The following is a 15,371-nucleotide window of genomic DNA, read 5'->3' as shown; positions in this document are numbered from 1 at the left end:
TAAGTCCCAAGTCAATTAGGGTTATATCTGTATTAGAAATGGTACCTTTTGGCCGGGCACAGTGGCTCATGCCTGTAATCCCAGCACTTTGGGAGGCTGAGATGGGCGGATCACCTGAGGTCAGGAGTTAGAGACCAGCCTGGCCAACATGGTGAAACCCTGTCTCTACTAAAAGCTACAAAAATTAGCCAGGCGTGGTAGCGGGCACCTGTAGTCCCAGCTACTTGGGAGGCTGAGGCAGGAGAATAGCTTGAATCCAGGCGGTGGAGGTTGCAGTGAGCCGAGATTGTGCGATTGCACTCCAGCCTGGGTGACAGAGCAAAACTCCGTCTAAAAAAAAAAAAAAAAAAAAAAGAAACGGTAGCTTTTGGTGTATTTGCTGTCAAGAAGTAATATGTTTCCTTAGACCTTCTTGTTTTCTCCCCGTTTCCCCCTCCCTACCACCTTCCCTACCTTCTTCTTTATTCTTTGTCTCTCTCACTGTCTCTACCTACTCTTTGGTGTGTGTTTCTCTCTCCCCAGCCTCTCCTGGGAATTTTATTGCTGGAATTGCAGGGAAAGACATGCCATGTAGCTTGTTTATTTCATGTTTTATCAGTCTCTGTCCCACATACTGTAGGATCTATGTCCCATAAGGGCAGGTTTTTTTTTTTTCTTTCATCTCTTTTATTCTTTTAGTGACACACCAACATAATTGAGTAAGTTACATTGGCTTAAGAACTTTATGGGTCACAGGCATGGTGGTGCATGCCTGTAGTCCCAGCTACTCAGGAGGCTGAGGAGGGAAGATCCTTTGAGCCTAGGAGGTTGAGACTGCAGTGAGCTGCAATTGCACCACTGTACTGCAGGCTGGGTAGCAGAGCAAGACTCTCTCTAAAAACAAAAACAGAAAGAAAAACAAAACCAGATTACTTTAGAACTTAAAGGATCTTCTTGGAATTGTGGACAAGGCTAGGTTTCCATCTGTGGTAGGGCCTTCCTTAAATGTCTTTTTCATGTAATCTTGTGGTTTTTCTAGTTCAGGGGTGTGGCCAGCAGCTTCTGACATGGCCCCCACTAGTTCTCCTCTCCTGGTATTCATGTTTTTGTGAAATCCCTTCCCCTTGTTTGTGGGCTAGACCTAGCTAATTGCTTTAATTAATTGAATACGGCAAAGGTGATAGGATAACAATTCTAAGAGTAGGTTATAAAAGATTGTGACTTCTATCTTGTTGCACTCTCTCTGGCTCTTCTCACACATTTGCTCTGATGAAGAGAGCTGTAGAGGCCCATGTAATAAGAAGTTGAGGGCAGCCTCAGCCTAACAGCCCTGCCAACAACCCTGTGAGTGAGGCTAGAAGTAGCTCCTTCCCCAGCTGAACCTTCCGATGAGACCACAACCCCAACTGACACCTTGTGTTTTTTGTTGTTGTTGTTGTCTTTTGTTTTTGTTTTTGTTTTTGTTGTTGTTTTTGAAACAGGGTCTCACTCTGTTGTCCAGGTGCCACTCAGCCTCTCAAAGTGCTGGGATTATAGGCATGAGCCACTGCACCTGGCCAACACTTTGATTCCAGTCTTCTGAGATGCCCTGAAACTGAGGACCACCTAGGCCATGTGTGGTCTTCTGACCCACAGAAACTGTAAGATTTTAAAATGTGGCCAGGCATGGTGGCTCACACTTGTAATCTCAGCACTCTGGGAGGCCAAGGCTGGTGGATCACCTGAGGTCAGGAATTCAAGACCAGCCTGGGCAACATGGTGAAACCCATCTCTACTGAAAATACAAAAATTAGCCTGGGGTGGTGGCGAGCATTTGTAATGCCAGCTACTTGGAGGCTGAGGCAGAAGAATCACCTGAACCCACGAGGCAGAGGTTGCAGTGAGCCAAGATTGCGCCACGGCATTCCAGCCTGAGCAACAGAAAAAAACTCCATTTGAAAAAAAAAAAAAGAAAAAGAAAAAGAAAAAAAAGAAATCCATAAAATTAGCTCAAGTTACAAGAAGGAAGGGTTGTTATGAGGATGAGGCACCTCTGAGACAGCCACAGGCAGGACACATTCTGGCCAGTCCCAGCCTCTCTTTCTCTCTTCCAACTCTCTCTCTTGCCTCCCTCTCTGTCTCTCTCTTTCTGCCTCTTGGCCTGCAGCATCACAGCCTCTCCCTGCCTGCATTTGCCCCAGCCTCCTCTTGGCAGCAGGGGAGCTTGGCCCTACATGTGGTGCTGACTTCACTCCACATCACCTCCTAACTGCACCACCCACAAGCTGGATTTCAAGCATCAGCAGCTTCGCCTCTCAAACTGCACTCACTTCCACATCCCAAGAAGAAAGTGACTGGCCCACTTTGGGTCAGGGCTAATCCATGGGCAGATGGGGTGTGGGCACAGTAGAGGGATCTTCTGGGACACAGGGTTGCCTATCTAAGCTGAGTCAGGAAGGAGGAGAGCATACCCACCTCCAGTATAACTGATTAAAAAATAGGCCGGGAGCGGTAGCTCATGCCTGTAATCCCAGCACTTTGGGAGGCTGAGGCAGGTGGATCACCTGAGGTCAGGAGTTTGAGACCAGCCTGGCCAACATGGTAAAACTCCGTCTCTACTAAAAATACAAGAATTAGCCAGGTGTGGTGGCACATGCCTGTAATCCCAGCTACTTGGGAGGCTGAGGCAGAAGAATTGCTTGAACCTGGGAGACAGTGGTTGCAGTGAGGCAAGATCCTGCCACTGCACTTCAACCCAGGCGACAGAACGAGAAAAAAAAAAAAAAACAAGACAAAAACCCAGTACACTTCTATAAAGCAGCACTAAAGCTGAGCCCTCTTCCTCATGCCCAGAGCCAGCCTCCCTGAGTAAACTGTGGTTCCTATGAAACCATCAGGGCAGCACTCTTTTCCAGTGCCTCTGTCATTAATGCTATGTTGCAATTCATACGTTTGTTGAAAATTAGAATGCTGCATTCGTTGATTTGTTGTCTGAAGGGTTCTTCCTTAGGGCTTATGGCTCTACAAATGATATTGGCTTGACCCCCAGAATTAATTTCAAGAAGGCCTGAGCTGGTAGGTGTTGCTTGCTTAGTCCTGGGAGCCTATCCAAGCCCTGCCTTGCCCTTCTTGGACCCTCCCTCCTTGGTGACCTGTTGGGCACTCTGGGGAGAAATAGGTGCAGACAGCCCAGGGATCTCTGGGCTGTAAAGGGCAAGTGGTTAAGTATGTGGCAGCACTAGTGAAGAAGACTACTCAGCAGGGTGCCTGGCTAGGCGTGGGGACCCAGAGAGAAACACAATCCCATGCTTGTTCTGAAGGAGCACGCCGAGCTGTGAGAGAGGCACACACATACGTGACCATCCCACCATCCCACGTGCCTCACCCCCTTTGCTGCTTTCTTTGTCGTTACAGAATTTTGAATTTGACATGCCATGTAGCTTGTTTATTTCATGTATTATCAGTCTCCGTCCCACATACTGTAGGATCTATGTCTTATAAGGGCAGAGTTTTTTTTTTCCTTTCGTCTCTTTTATTCATGGTGGCATCCCTAGTGCCCAGGACAGGTACAGAGTAGGTACTTAAGTATTTGTTGAATGAATGAATGAAATACTAGGAGCAAGGTCTTTGCAGGGTGCTGGAGAAGCTGGAGGATTCAGAGACAGGTTTCTGCAGCCAATGTGCCTAAACTGCATCTCTGAGCCTCAGCCAGGTGAATACAGGTGGGCAGAGGAAAGAGGGCCGCACAAACAAAGGCATAGAAGGAAGGCACAGCCTGCTGCATATATGTCTGGTCCCGGCTGGCTGTCCTCAGAGCAGAAGGCTTCGTGATACGGATGCAGCCATGATTAACTGGGGAAAAGGGACCCAGGTGGATAGATGCTAATGGAGTGAAAGGAGAGCCTGAGCTATAGGCATCCCCTCTTTGAGTGGTTAAGGCTGGGTGACACACAGGTTCCCATCCCTGTGCTGGGGCTTAGCATAGGATCAGGAGGAGGGCATGTACGTGGGAACCTCTTCTTATAACTGAACAGCCAAGCCCCTCTGCAGCCAGTCACACTGGACCACAGAACTCAGGTGGCACTTGGCCTAGGATCTTGGTTAGCAGAGGGACAGCTGGGCCCAGGACTTGGTGACAAGTATCTTAGATGGCACAGCATTCCAAACGCCAGGGGGACAAGGAACGGATGGAACCCTCAATCCAACTCCTGGTTTTGGCTGCCTCTGCTCCTTCCCTGCCACACTGAGTTGGTGTTGGGAAGGGTCCTGTGTGGAAGAAGAGATTCTTGTCCTCTGTTGGGATGAGGCCCTGGCTGCTCTACTTTTAGCACAGATGGCAGAGGAGCCCCTCCCTCAGTTTCCTGAGGCATGAATGCTCAGTTTACATTTTCATGCTCAGCTGTGGTGTCTGAAGGCCACTCCCTGGGCCCATCCACAGGCTAAGCCCCACCTTCTAAGCCCTAGTGTTGGGCCTCGGCTCTGAGTCCTGTCACAAGGAGGAGTCCTCACAAGGACTTTCCCTCTGAGGCCCTTCCTGCTGTCAGTCCTCAACTGCAACAGTCTCAGTGAATCAGAGATGTTCTTATGATGTCAAAGGTTAAAAGGCCTGGGGCCATGGTCTGGCTTGCTTTGTTCTGGGACGCTTCTTGGTCCCTATGCCAAAGTGGCACCTCTTCCCCCGGGCCAGCTCTGCAGAGCAAGGGTACAGCAAGGTGAACTCTGTGGCTGTTGTACCCTCGGGGTCCATTCTGTGTCCCTGGCGATGCTTCGGCAGGGTTGCACCACGGCTCACTGCACCCCAGCTCCCACTGGGGCTGAAGACCCCTCTGAGGTCTGCCCGGAGCTTGTGCTTGGTTCCAACCTTAGCAATTTGCTTACACCCTAACTGTCCTGCTACAATGGACCCCTCTGGAAGCTTCTCATTTAGACTTGCAGCTCCTCCAAAGTCTGGCTCATGCTGCCAAAGGTCTAAGGGTGGCTTAGCAGAGCTCAGCTGTTGGCAGCATCCTGCCTAACCAAGACACGCTGATGAGGCTGCATCCCAAGCAGGTGCAGGCAGCCTCTCAGCAACCTTCTCCCAGAGGCCTGAGTAGGGAATAGGGTGGGCTGGGGTGAGGAGGAGAAGGGGTTCCTGCTACCCTCCACCTTGTTTATATCCTATTGGTCCCTCTGACTGGGACATACCTGGCATTGCTTTCCTTCCCCTACCCCCTTTCTCTGTCTTGGCTACTATTTTCAGGGCTGGAGGGACCAGCTCTTCTCTAATTTCCCTGTGTAGCAGGACAAGTCACAGACAAAACTCCTCAGACACTGAGTTAAAGAGGGAAGGGGTTTATTCGGCCGGGGGCATCGGTAAGACTCCTGTCTCAAGAGCCGAGCTCCCTGAGTGAGCAATTCCTGTCCTTTTTAAGGGCTCACAACTCTAAGGGGGTGGGCGTGAGAGGCTCGTGATCGATTGAGCAAGCATGGGGTACGTGACTGGGGGCTGCATGCACCGGTAATTAGATCAGAACAAAACAGGACAGGGATTTTCACAGTGCTTTTCTATACAATGTCTGTAATCTATAGATAACATAACCGATTAGGTCAGGGGTCGATCTTTAACTTCGAGGACCAGGGTGTGGCGCCGGGCTGACTGCTTGTGGATTTCATTTCTGCCTTTTAGTTTTTACTTTTTCTTTCTTTGGAGGCAGAAATTGGGCATAAGGCAATATGAGGGGTGGTCTCCTCCCTTACCCACAGGAGAGGGAGAGCACATTTTTTTGAAAAACTTACTTGGGAGGGGGTTTGGATAAAGTAATCTTTATTACATTTTATTTTTTGTGACGAAGTTTCACTCTTGTTGCCCAGGCTGGAGTGCAATGGCGCGATCTCGGCTCACTGCAACCTCCGCCTCCCGGGTTCAAACGTTTCTCCTGCCTCTGGATTACAGGCATGTGCCACCATGCCCGGCTAATTTTGTATTTTTAGTAGAGTTGGGGTTTCTCCATGTTGGTCAGGCTGGTCTCAGGCTTCCAACCTCAGGTGATCCACCGGCCTCGGCCTCCCAAAGTGCTGAGATTACAGGCGTGAACCACCGTGCGCAGCCGTAAGTAATCTTTAATTATCTTTTGTTTTCAAGGCAATAGCCTGACCTGCAAGCCTGTTTTGTTTGTTTTTATTTTTGTTTTTTTTGTTGTTGTTTGTTTTTTCCTATAGAAGCTGAATTGTACCTAGATTTTTTTCATAATTTAACATCTGTAACAAAGCCTAAAATTTCCCCAAGCCAATGGAACCCAGGCTAAGGTGGAAGTTCAAGATCTCAATAATATTTTTCAAACTCACTGCACACTTTTCTCATCTATTCTTCATGTACCAGTACAAGGTTCTTGCTCAAAACAACAACAACAAAAGGTTTTCTTTGGCCGTTTGAGAAAAAGAACTGAGATCCCCTCTTTATTCCTTCCTTCATATGTTCTGGATAATGAACCGGTCAAACAATGAAGGCATCTGTTAAGGGCAGTCCTTTGTTTCTTCTTTGTCTCGAGTTCCACCATCCCTGCTTCATTTCTGGCCTCCCCTGTAACCCACACAGCTGTCCTCCGTATTATGGAAGAATGTAGGGTATCTTCCTCTGGTCATCTGCAGTGGAAAAAATATTCCCCTGGAAGACCATGCCAGGATCTCAGGATACAACCTGAGCAACCGAGAGCACACGCCCACTCCACGCAGTTGCTCCCGGGTCAGCAGCAGGAAGGTTAACGGGATACAAACGGGTGGGTCGTAGCATTCCCTTGGACTCCGCCGTCTGGACATTTGCTCAGGGGGATGGATAAAGGAGAAACAAATTACATTTCTTCATACCTGCCTGGATTCACTGAGTATTTATGGAGCACCTGTTGTGTGAAATCCGAGGAGAAGGCTAGAATAGAAAACAGACTCTCGGCCACGCACTGTGCCTCACGCCTGTAATCCCAACGGTTTGGGAGGTCGAGGTGGGAGGATAGCTTGAACTCAGGAGTTAGAGACCAGCCTGGGCAACATGGCGAAACCCCATCTCTACAAAAAATACAAAAATCATCCAGGCATGGTGGCGTGTGCCTGTAATCCCAGCTACTTCAGAGGCTGAGGTAGTAAGATTGATTGAACCGGGGAGGCTGAGGCTGCAGTGAGCCATGATGGTGCCACTGAAGTCTTTTTTTTGGTTTTTGTTTTTTTTTTGAGATGGAGTCTCGCTCTGTCGCCCAGGCTGGAGTGCAGTGGCACGATCTCGGCTCACTGTAAGCTCCTCCACTCGGGTTCACGCCATTCTCCTGCCTCAGCCTCCCGAGTAGCTGGGACTACAAGGCGCCGCTACCAAGCCCGGCTAATTTTTTTTTTGTATTTTTGGTAGAGACAGGATTTCACCATGTTAGCCAGGATGGTCTGGATCTCCTGACCTCATGATCCGCCCGCCTCGGCCTCCCAAAGTGCTGGGATTACAGGCGTGAGCCACCGCGCCCGGCCCGCCACTGAAGTCTTAAGTCTTGCCTGGGCAACAGAGGGAGACCCTGTCTCAAAAAAAAAAAAACCTGTGGGAGTCCACAGGAGGATACAAAGTTCATGCATGAAATAGAACCCTAGGAATGCCAATGTAACCTGCTCCACGCATGGGAGCCTGAAGCATCTTCTCCCTGGCCCCCACCCATCCAATATGCATGGAAAACCACAAAGGGCCCTTGCCCTACAGTCTGGCATCTTAGTGCCTTGAGATTTTTAACCCAGGTTAAAAATTAACCTGTCTTACTTGTTAACTTGTCTACTGAGAGACCAGTTCAGGTCACTACAAATCACCTCTGCTACTTGGTGGCTGTTGTGACTTCTGTTAATCTCTGAGAGCCTTAATTTTCTCATCTCTAAATTAGGAGCTATGCTAGTACTCATACAATAGAGTTTTGTGAAGATTAAATGAGACCTTATTTGGAAGGTGCTTAGCTCAGTTCCTGGCACACCAGGGACTGGCATTCTCTGCCCCATCTTTAGGGGGCTGGAGTCAACCAAGAAACTTTGGCTGCCAGTTGTGAGCCACAGTGGAGAGGAAGATAGTCTTAGGCTAGTATTAGGGAAATAAGACTAACCCACAGGGAAAAATAGAGGACAAATTAACAGCTAATTTGTGATAGTGGTCACAAATGAACTAGAGATTTATGTAAGGAAAGCTGGGAGGACTTGGGTGGCTAAGGAGGTCTCCTCAGAGCAGCTAGAGCAGGTGTTTGATGGGATCAGAGAGATCATCTTGTGGTTAGCTAAAGGCCATTCCTGTGAGGCAGAGTCAGGGCTCATTCAGTTTGAGCCAGCTGCATTGTATTAGTATTCACACTGCCACAAAGATACTACCCGAGACTGGAGACGGGGTAATTTATAAACGAAGGAGGTTTAATTTATGACTCACAGTTCTGCATAGCTGGGAAGGCCTCAGGAAACTTACAATCATGGCAGAAGGGGAAACAGGCACCTTTACAAAACGGCAGGAAAGAAAAGAACAAAAGAAGGAGGAATTTCCAAACGTGTATAAAGCAATCAGATCTCATGAGAATAGCATGGGGGAAACTGCCCCCTTGATCCAATCACAGATCCCTCCCTCAATACCTGGGAATTATAATTCGAGATGAGATTTGTGTGGGGACACAAAACCAAACTATATCACCCATGTAGGCTCAGATGGTGGGCTTTGAAGACTTTCTACTGCCCCAAAGACAAAGTTTGCATTTGAACTTATTAAGCACTTACTATGTGATAAGCATAAATATAGAACAGCTCCAGTTTCTCAAAACATCATTTGGGAAGTATAAATATATGATTTGGAGACTTGCTGTTAAATATGCATCTACAGACTTCTTGCATAGATGTTTGGCAGAGCTGAACGCTTACTTGTTTTTCTGTAATGAGAACCCAATTTAGATATCTTTTCTTTCTTTCTTCCTTTCTTTCCTTCTTTCTTTCTTTCTTTCTTTCTTTCTTTCTTTCTTTCTTTCTTTCTTTCTTTCTTTCTTTCTTTTTTTTTTGAGATGGAGTTTTGATCTTGTTGCCCAGGCTGGTGTGCAATGGTGCCATCTCCGCTCACTGCAACCTCCACCTCCCGGGTTCAAGCGATTCTCCTGCCTCAGCCTCCTGAGTAGCTGGGATTACAGGCATGCATCACCATGCCTGGCTAATTTTGTATTTTTCATAGAGACAGGGCTTTACCATGTTGGTCAGGCTGGTTTCAAACTCCTGACCTCAGGTGATCCACCCACCTCAGCCTCCCAAAGTGTTGGAATTACAGGCGTGAGCCACCACGCCCCACCTGAGACACCACGCCCGGCCTGAGAACCCAGTTTAGAAGTTTATCAGAACAAATCTAAGCTTGGTCTGGTATAATTTTTCTCTGGAATCCCTGACCCTCCCTTATTTTTCTAGTCATGCAAAGCTTCTTTATTTAAAAAAAAAAAAAAAAGTTGTGGGTGTTTTTTTTTTAACTCAATTACCCTTAAACTTGGTCTTGTGGTTATGCAGGAGAATGGACAATTCTTATGAGATGCAGCTGAAATATTTGGGGCTGTGTCGTGATTTATGTAACTCACTCTCAAATGTTTCAAATACAGGTAGACAGAGAACAAGGCAAAATCTAAACAGTCGCTGAACATAGATGAAGGGCTCGTGAGTGTTTGCTGTACTATTCTTTCCATATTTTCTATGTGTTTGGAAATTCTCAAATAAAACAATAGGAAAAACTCATTGAAACATAGGGAGGAAAATGGGGTAAGAGGAGAAAGCCCCCCTTCCCTGCTGGCCTTTTCAGGCTCTAGCCTGGGGCATGTCTCATTTGATGCCTGGAGCTGACGAGTTTCCCCTTTTTCTTGTTATTGGCATACTTCAGGGAGTTCTTCAAAACTTGGTCATTTTGGCTGTTCACCAAAGGCCTCTGATTTCCACTCTCTGTGTGGGGGCCCCTCTCTGCCTCTGGTTGACTTCATTCTCAGCCTGTCGGACTTCCCGAGGCTCCACTAGACTCTGTCCTGGCTGTCATGACAACAGCGGCAGAGTCCCTGGAGAAGGCTGATGGGCGATGGGAAGGCTCTTACATCTAGGAGTTCTAGATGTATGTTTTTTTGGAGGCATGTCCCATAAACCTCGGGAATTCCTGAGCAAGTGCGTGTGTTGGGCCAAGGGCTGGGGAGCTGGGCCAGCGGTCCAGGTCCCTCTCCTCAACAAAAGGAAATGGATTTGTACTGGACTTCTTGAGGAGATCTAATGTCAATCCCAATAAGCTGTCTTCCTGATGGAGTTTCAAGGGTAATTTAAACTCTGAACTCTTTTAACCTTATTTGCTAACTTTAGACCTAACCTGCATGTAGCATGCTGTCACTGTGTAATAAAACGCTCATTCATTCATTCCACCCACACTTACCAAGGGCTTATTTTGAGCTAAGCACTGTGCCAGGGCTGGGGACACAGGGCTGTACTGTGGTTTCCAACCACAGTTACCCCACACACTGAGAAAGGGAGAGCTCTCTTTGTGAGGTGGTGGTCGGGGCAGATTTCCTGGGATGGGTGGGCCTGGGGCAGGTCAAAGAGAAATTGAAATTGGACAGAAAAAGGAGCTTTTTGGAGGGATGAGGGGGCATCATGAGTAAAGACAGCCTCTGCTCCATGTGCATTCTCTGGCATGGTGGAGATTAGTAGGCCTCAGTCAGGCTGAGAAAAACCTAAAATTAGCCTGACCAGCTGGGCCTGGGCTGTGTGGGACTCTCCCTCACCCCCCTTGCCTTCTCAGGTTTCAGAAAGCCCGAGTATGTGCAGGAACAGCATGCTTTGCCCAGGTCGTGGCAGGCAGATCAGGGCACCTGGGGCCGGGCCGGGCAGAGGGTGCAGCTCCCAGCAGGGATGTTGTCTTTTATACGGGTTCCCCAATTCTGCAGGCCTGGCAAGAGGGAAGGGGGAGACTGCCCTTCCCATCTTCTTCTTGATGCCACTTCCTCTTTGGCTTGTTCCTTCCCCTTCCAGATCTGCAAAGCCTGGCAGTGTGGCACTGCCCAGGCCAGCAAACCAGAGACACAGCACGGCAAGCCCCACCAGGGGAAAGAGGCTTGGATGGGCAACTTCCTGGACACTGGGGAGGAGCAACCAGAAAGCCTCATCCTCACCCACTTTACCCTGTTCCACCTTCCTTTCTGATCTAGCCTGAAATTCCCTCCGTTAGTCACCATCAGCAAAACCGCAGAGCATGTGCTATGATCAAGACTTAGAAGTTGTGTGAGAAGCTAATCTCACCTCCAAAGGTGCTGGAGCTGGTCTGAGTGGGTGAGGAGCAGCGGTGCATGGCACCACGTGCATGGTGGTGGGGAAGGTGGGAAAGAGATGGCCAGCCTGGTGGTGCTGGCGGTGGTGGGGGCTGGGCAGCAGGGTGGCCTTTCCCACTTAGTGTCCGTCCCATCCCTACATCAGATATTCATGACTTGTTTCTTCTCCCTAGATGGCACTGTCTGGTACTCTCTGCCTTCTCATCTTCCTCTAGTCTGGGGTCCCTCCTTCTGGGTCACCAACTCCAAGACAGTTTGCAAATGCCAGTCCCCCTATCTGAAACAGTGCTGGAAGTTTCTGGAGCCAGAAGCATTGCTGAGCATGGGTAGTAGGGGCCCAGGAAGGCTTCCAAAGAGATGGGGCTGATGCAGGGCCCCAGAACAAGTTGCCCAGCCTGAGCTCATGGCCACAGTTGCTGTTATTTGCAGTTTTTGGAGTCTTACAATTTGCCCTGCCATGCTAGGCAATGGGTGACCACTGGCCACTCGCAGGCTAGACACCCTCAGATGGGGCCCAGGATTTTAAAATTTGTCAAATTAGATGCCCATTCAAAAACTGGGAGATTTCACGTGAAGTCAGAGTTTCTGACTTCTCTTGAAACATAAGAAGATAGGGCCCCATTTGAGGTGACTAACCAAGCTGGCTTCCTGGGACTCACCCAGTTTAGGCACAGAAAGTACCTTGTCCCAGGAAACCCTGGACAGGCTCCCAGAGCCCTGCAGGGCAACAGTAAACTGGAGTGGACTTGCTCACCCTCTAGGGCTCGTCAGCCCTGTTAGGGGCTAAATTGCACCCTCTTCAAATATGCATGTTGAAGTTCTAACTGCCAGTATCTCAGAATGTGACCTTATTTGGAAAGAGGGTCATTGCAGATGTAATGAGTTAAGATGAGGTCATACTGGAGTAGGGTGGGCCCCTGATCTGACTTCTGTCCTCGAAAAAGGGGAAATGGGAACACAGACACACACAGGGAAGATACCACATGCTGAAGGCAGAGACTGGGTGACGTGTCTCCAAGCCAAGGAATGCCAAAAACGGCCAGCAACCCCCAGAAACTCAGGGAGAGGCCTGGAATGGATCCTTCCCAGTGCTTTTGGAGGGAGCATGGTGCTGCTAACACCTCGATTTCAGGCTTCTGGCTTCCAGACCTGTGAGTCGACACAGTTCCATTGTTCTAAGCCACCCAGTTTGTGTGTACTTCATTACGGCGCCCTAGAAAACCAGTACACGCTCCTACCATGCCCTGCAGTTTTGTCATACATTCACCAGGCCTGCCTGGCCCCAGAGGCATTAGCCTTCTCACTTGCAGAAAATCCCCTGATGAGTTAAGCCAGATGTTGATGAGATCACTCCAGGGGTCCTGAGAGGGAAGGAGAAAGGTGGGTCTGGAGAGCATATGCCCCAGCCCTCAGGGGAGAGAGTGCTGGTGTCCCCAAGCAGCAAGTTCTCCAGTACTCACAGTATCCAGGAGGTGACCAGAGACCTGGGGGTGGGAGACAGGTGGGGCACCTGGGCTGGTACCAGGTGGCCAGCCTTGGCAGAGATCTCCCAAACTGTCGGGGACATTAGGAAACCACACCAGTGAGCTTGGGCAGCAAAGAAGCTGGGGCGACTTTGATGTACAAAAGATTAGGAGCCCTTCTGTGTGTTCAAGGCATCAGAGCCTCCTGGGTTCCGGTGGGTGAAAGGGGAGGTCCCAGTGGAGATGGAAAAGGAAATCTAGGTCAACCTTTCCAAATGACGTTGGCCTTGGAATGCGGTTGATTCAAGGGCAATAAAGAAAGTGTGTTAGGGCTGGGCGTGGTTGCTCACACCTGTAATTCCAGCACTTTGGGAGGCCGAGGTGGGTGGATCACTTGAGGTCAGGAGTTCGAGACCAGCCTGGCCAACATGGTGAAACCCCGTCTCTACCCAAAATGCAAAAATTAGCTGGGCGTAGTGGCGTGTGTCTGTAATCTTAGCTACTGGGCAGGCTGAGGCGGGGGAATTGCTTGAACCCGGGAGTCGGAGGTTGCAGATAGTGCCAAGATAGTGCCACTGCACTCCAGCCTGGGCAACAGAGTGAGACTCCATCTCAAAAAAAAAAAAAGTGTGTTATTTAATCCCCATTATACAAGTAAGGAAACTGAAGCTCGGAGCAGGTAAGGCTCCCAAGCTCACAGTGCTGGAAAGTAGCAGAGCCAAATCTCCCCCAGCCTTGGGTCACTGGAGCGGCTAGTTTCAACAAGGTCACACTGCCGCCGCCCCCACTGCAGTGGGCCGCCATGGGTCTTCTCGGTCAGCACTCACTGCCCGCTGGCTCTGCAAACCTCATTCTCAACCTGCGTTTGAACTGGAAGCTTTCGCTCTGATTCTCTCCCTGTTTCCAGGGTGGGTTTTTTTTTTTTTTTTTTTTTTTGAGATGGAGTCTCATTCTGTCACCCAGGCTGGAGTGCAGTGGTGCAATCTTGGCTCACTGCAACCTCTGCCTCCAGGGTTCAAGCAATTCTCCTTCCTCAGCCTCCCAAGTAGCTGGGATTACAGGCACCCGCTACCATGCAGGCAAATTTTTTTTTGTATTTTTAGTAGAGATGGGGTTTCACCATGTTGGCCAGGCTGGTTTTGAACTCCTGACTTCACGTGATCAGCCCACCTCGGCCTCCCAAAGTGCTAGGATTACAGGCATGAGCCACCGTGCCCGGCCTCCAGGGTGGTTTTAAGAAGGCAAGTCCGTGGGATCTGCCAAGTCATCTCATGCAGAGCGTTCAGGAAGATCATGGTCCCCCTGCCAGTTCCTGCGGTGTTCTTGAGGTCAAATAATATTCTTGTGGTTCGCTCATTCATTCATTCACTCACTCACTCAGCAAGCACTGAGGGAGTACATGAGGGACTGTGGATATGGCAGTGAACTATAGACCTGGTCCCTCCCTCCAGGAGCTTGTAGCACTTTTGTCTGGTGGCAACACGTGGTGTGGAGAAAAGAAAGCTGCTCAGCATGTTAGGGTATGCAGCAGGGTGGAGAGCTGTTGTCATTAACACAGGGAGGTCAGAGGAAGGCTCTGGTAGATGCTAGTGAAAGTCTGAAGGGTAAGGGAGTCAGCCCAGGGCTCCAGGGGGAAGGGCCTCCGAGGCAGAAGGTACCAGAAATGAAAAGGCCCTGAGTCAGGAGCACACTTCCCTGTGGCTGAAGTGATCCTGGGAGTCCACAGGAATCCATGGGAACCTGTGAGCCATCATGGAGATTTGGGAAACACGAGAGGGCTGGTCTGGCTGTGTGATGAGGGTGGTTGGGGCGGCTGGACGTGCAGGAAGGAGAGAGATGTCATGATCTACGTGAGTCGGGACAAAGGATGGACCAGGGTGGTGGCTGTGGAGGCGGGAGGAGCAGTCAGACTCTGGATGTATGTCTAAGGAGGATGAGGGCTTGGATATGGGGAGGAAGAAGGGGAGCCCTAGGTTTTTGGCATTCATCTTCTGGCAGTCTTTCCTTAACTTTCCACCACTAGGGCCAGCCTCTGAGTTCATCCTCACCAGGTTGCTGCGACAGGGAGGGCAGGCTCTGTGTCCTCATGTTTGCCTTTTGCTTTAATCCTCACTCATCTTTACTTGCTTTAGCCCATGGGCTCTGGAATGAGGGGCCCTTGGAGCCCCCCACTTCTGATCCTGAGGTGGGGGGCAGGCAGTAGAAGCTGGAAGGAGAGCCTTCCTTAGCACACAGCCCCACACCCCACTTCCCATCCTTTCTTTTGAAGAGTGGAGGGGGATCCTCTGAAAAGCAGCGATGAGGAGTGCTCCCCCATCCCCACCCCCTCTGCACTGTGCTCCAGCCAAGGCCTGAGAAAGCAGCGCAATGTCAGGGAGACCCAAGGGGTGGTGTGGCAGAGGGTGAGAGAAATGAGACAGCACCTCAGCCTGTGAAAGTGGAGGCTGCGTGGATGCCGGTGCACATAAGTGAGTGGGGAGGGGGAGGGAGAAAATCTTCCCACCACTAGACTGCCCATACCATGCAGACTCAGAGACCTGCAGCCCAGGCTCTGCCCCTCTCAGCTCTGGGCTCTCCTCCCAGTCCTGGGGGTGGCCCTGGGCCAGGGCTGTGATGCACCGCCCACCCTCACTGCACTTGAGCTCAGCTG

At 49.8% G+C, this 15,371-nt stretch overlaps 7 annotated features.

Moving 5' to 3' along the window:
• Nucleotides 10,471-10,610: an enhancer, noted in NCBI's record as "active region_17246". NCBI's record gives its function as "activates an Ori minimal core promoter by ATAC-STARR-seq in GM12878 lymphoblastoid cells {active_cell/tissue: GM12878}" and the evidence as "EXISTENCE:reporter gene assay evidence [ECO:0000049][PMID:35858748]".
• Nucleotides 10,811-11,030: an enhancer, noted in NCBI's record as "active region_17245". NCBI's record gives its function as "activates an Ori minimal core promoter by ATAC-STARR-seq in GM12878 lymphoblastoid cells {active_cell/tissue: GM12878}" and the evidence as "EXISTENCE:reporter gene assay evidence [ECO:0000049][PMID:35858748]".
• Nucleotides 11,411-11,490: an enhancer, noted in NCBI's record as "active region_17244". NCBI's record gives its function as "activates an Ori minimal core promoter by ATAC-STARR-seq in GM12878 lymphoblastoid cells {active_cell/tissue: GM12878}" and the evidence as "EXISTENCE:reporter gene assay evidence [ECO:0000049][PMID:35858748]".
• Nucleotides 11,511-11,560: an enhancer, noted in NCBI's record as "active region_17243". NCBI's record gives its function as "activates an Ori minimal core promoter by ATAC-STARR-seq in GM12878 lymphoblastoid cells {active_cell/tissue: GM12878}" and the evidence as "EXISTENCE:reporter gene assay evidence [ECO:0000049][PMID:35858748]".
• Nucleotides 11,601-12,080: an enhancer, noted in NCBI's record as "active region_17242". NCBI's record gives its function as "activates an Ori minimal core promoter by ATAC-STARR-seq in GM12878 lymphoblastoid cells {active_cell/tissue: GM12878}" and the evidence as "EXISTENCE:reporter gene assay evidence [ECO:0000049][PMID:35858748]".
• Nucleotides 12,050-12,344: an enhancer, noted in NCBI's record as "tiled region #12127; K562 Activating DNase matched - State 5:Enh". NCBI's record gives its function as "activates a minimal TATA promoter and a strong SV40 promoter by Sharpr-MPRA in K562 cells {active_cell/tissue: K562}" and the evidence as "EXISTENCE:reporter gene assay evidence [ECO:0000049][PMID:27701403]".
• Nucleotides 12,295-13,160: an enhancer, noted in NCBI's record as "NANOG-H3K27ac-H3K4me1 hESC enhancer chr2:231531133-231531998 (GRCh37/hg19 assembly coordinates)". NCBI's record gives its function as "activates a minimal SCP1, AML or CMV promoter by ChIP-STARR-seq in primed H9 embryonic stem cells {active_cell/tissue: H9 hESC(primed)}" and the evidence as "EXISTENCE:reporter gene assay evidence [ECO:0000049][PMID:30033119]".

This window comes from Homo sapiens, chromosome 2, assembly GCF_000001405.40.
Source record: "Homo sapiens chromosome 2, GRCh38.p14 Primary Assembly".
In the NCBI taxonomy this organism is placed as follows: Eukaryota; Metazoa; Chordata; class Mammalia; order Primates; family Hominidae; genus Homo; species Homo sapiens.
The sequence above is the reverse complement of the archived record's forward strand: the minus strand, read 5'-3'. Positions and strand labels throughout refer to the sequence as shown.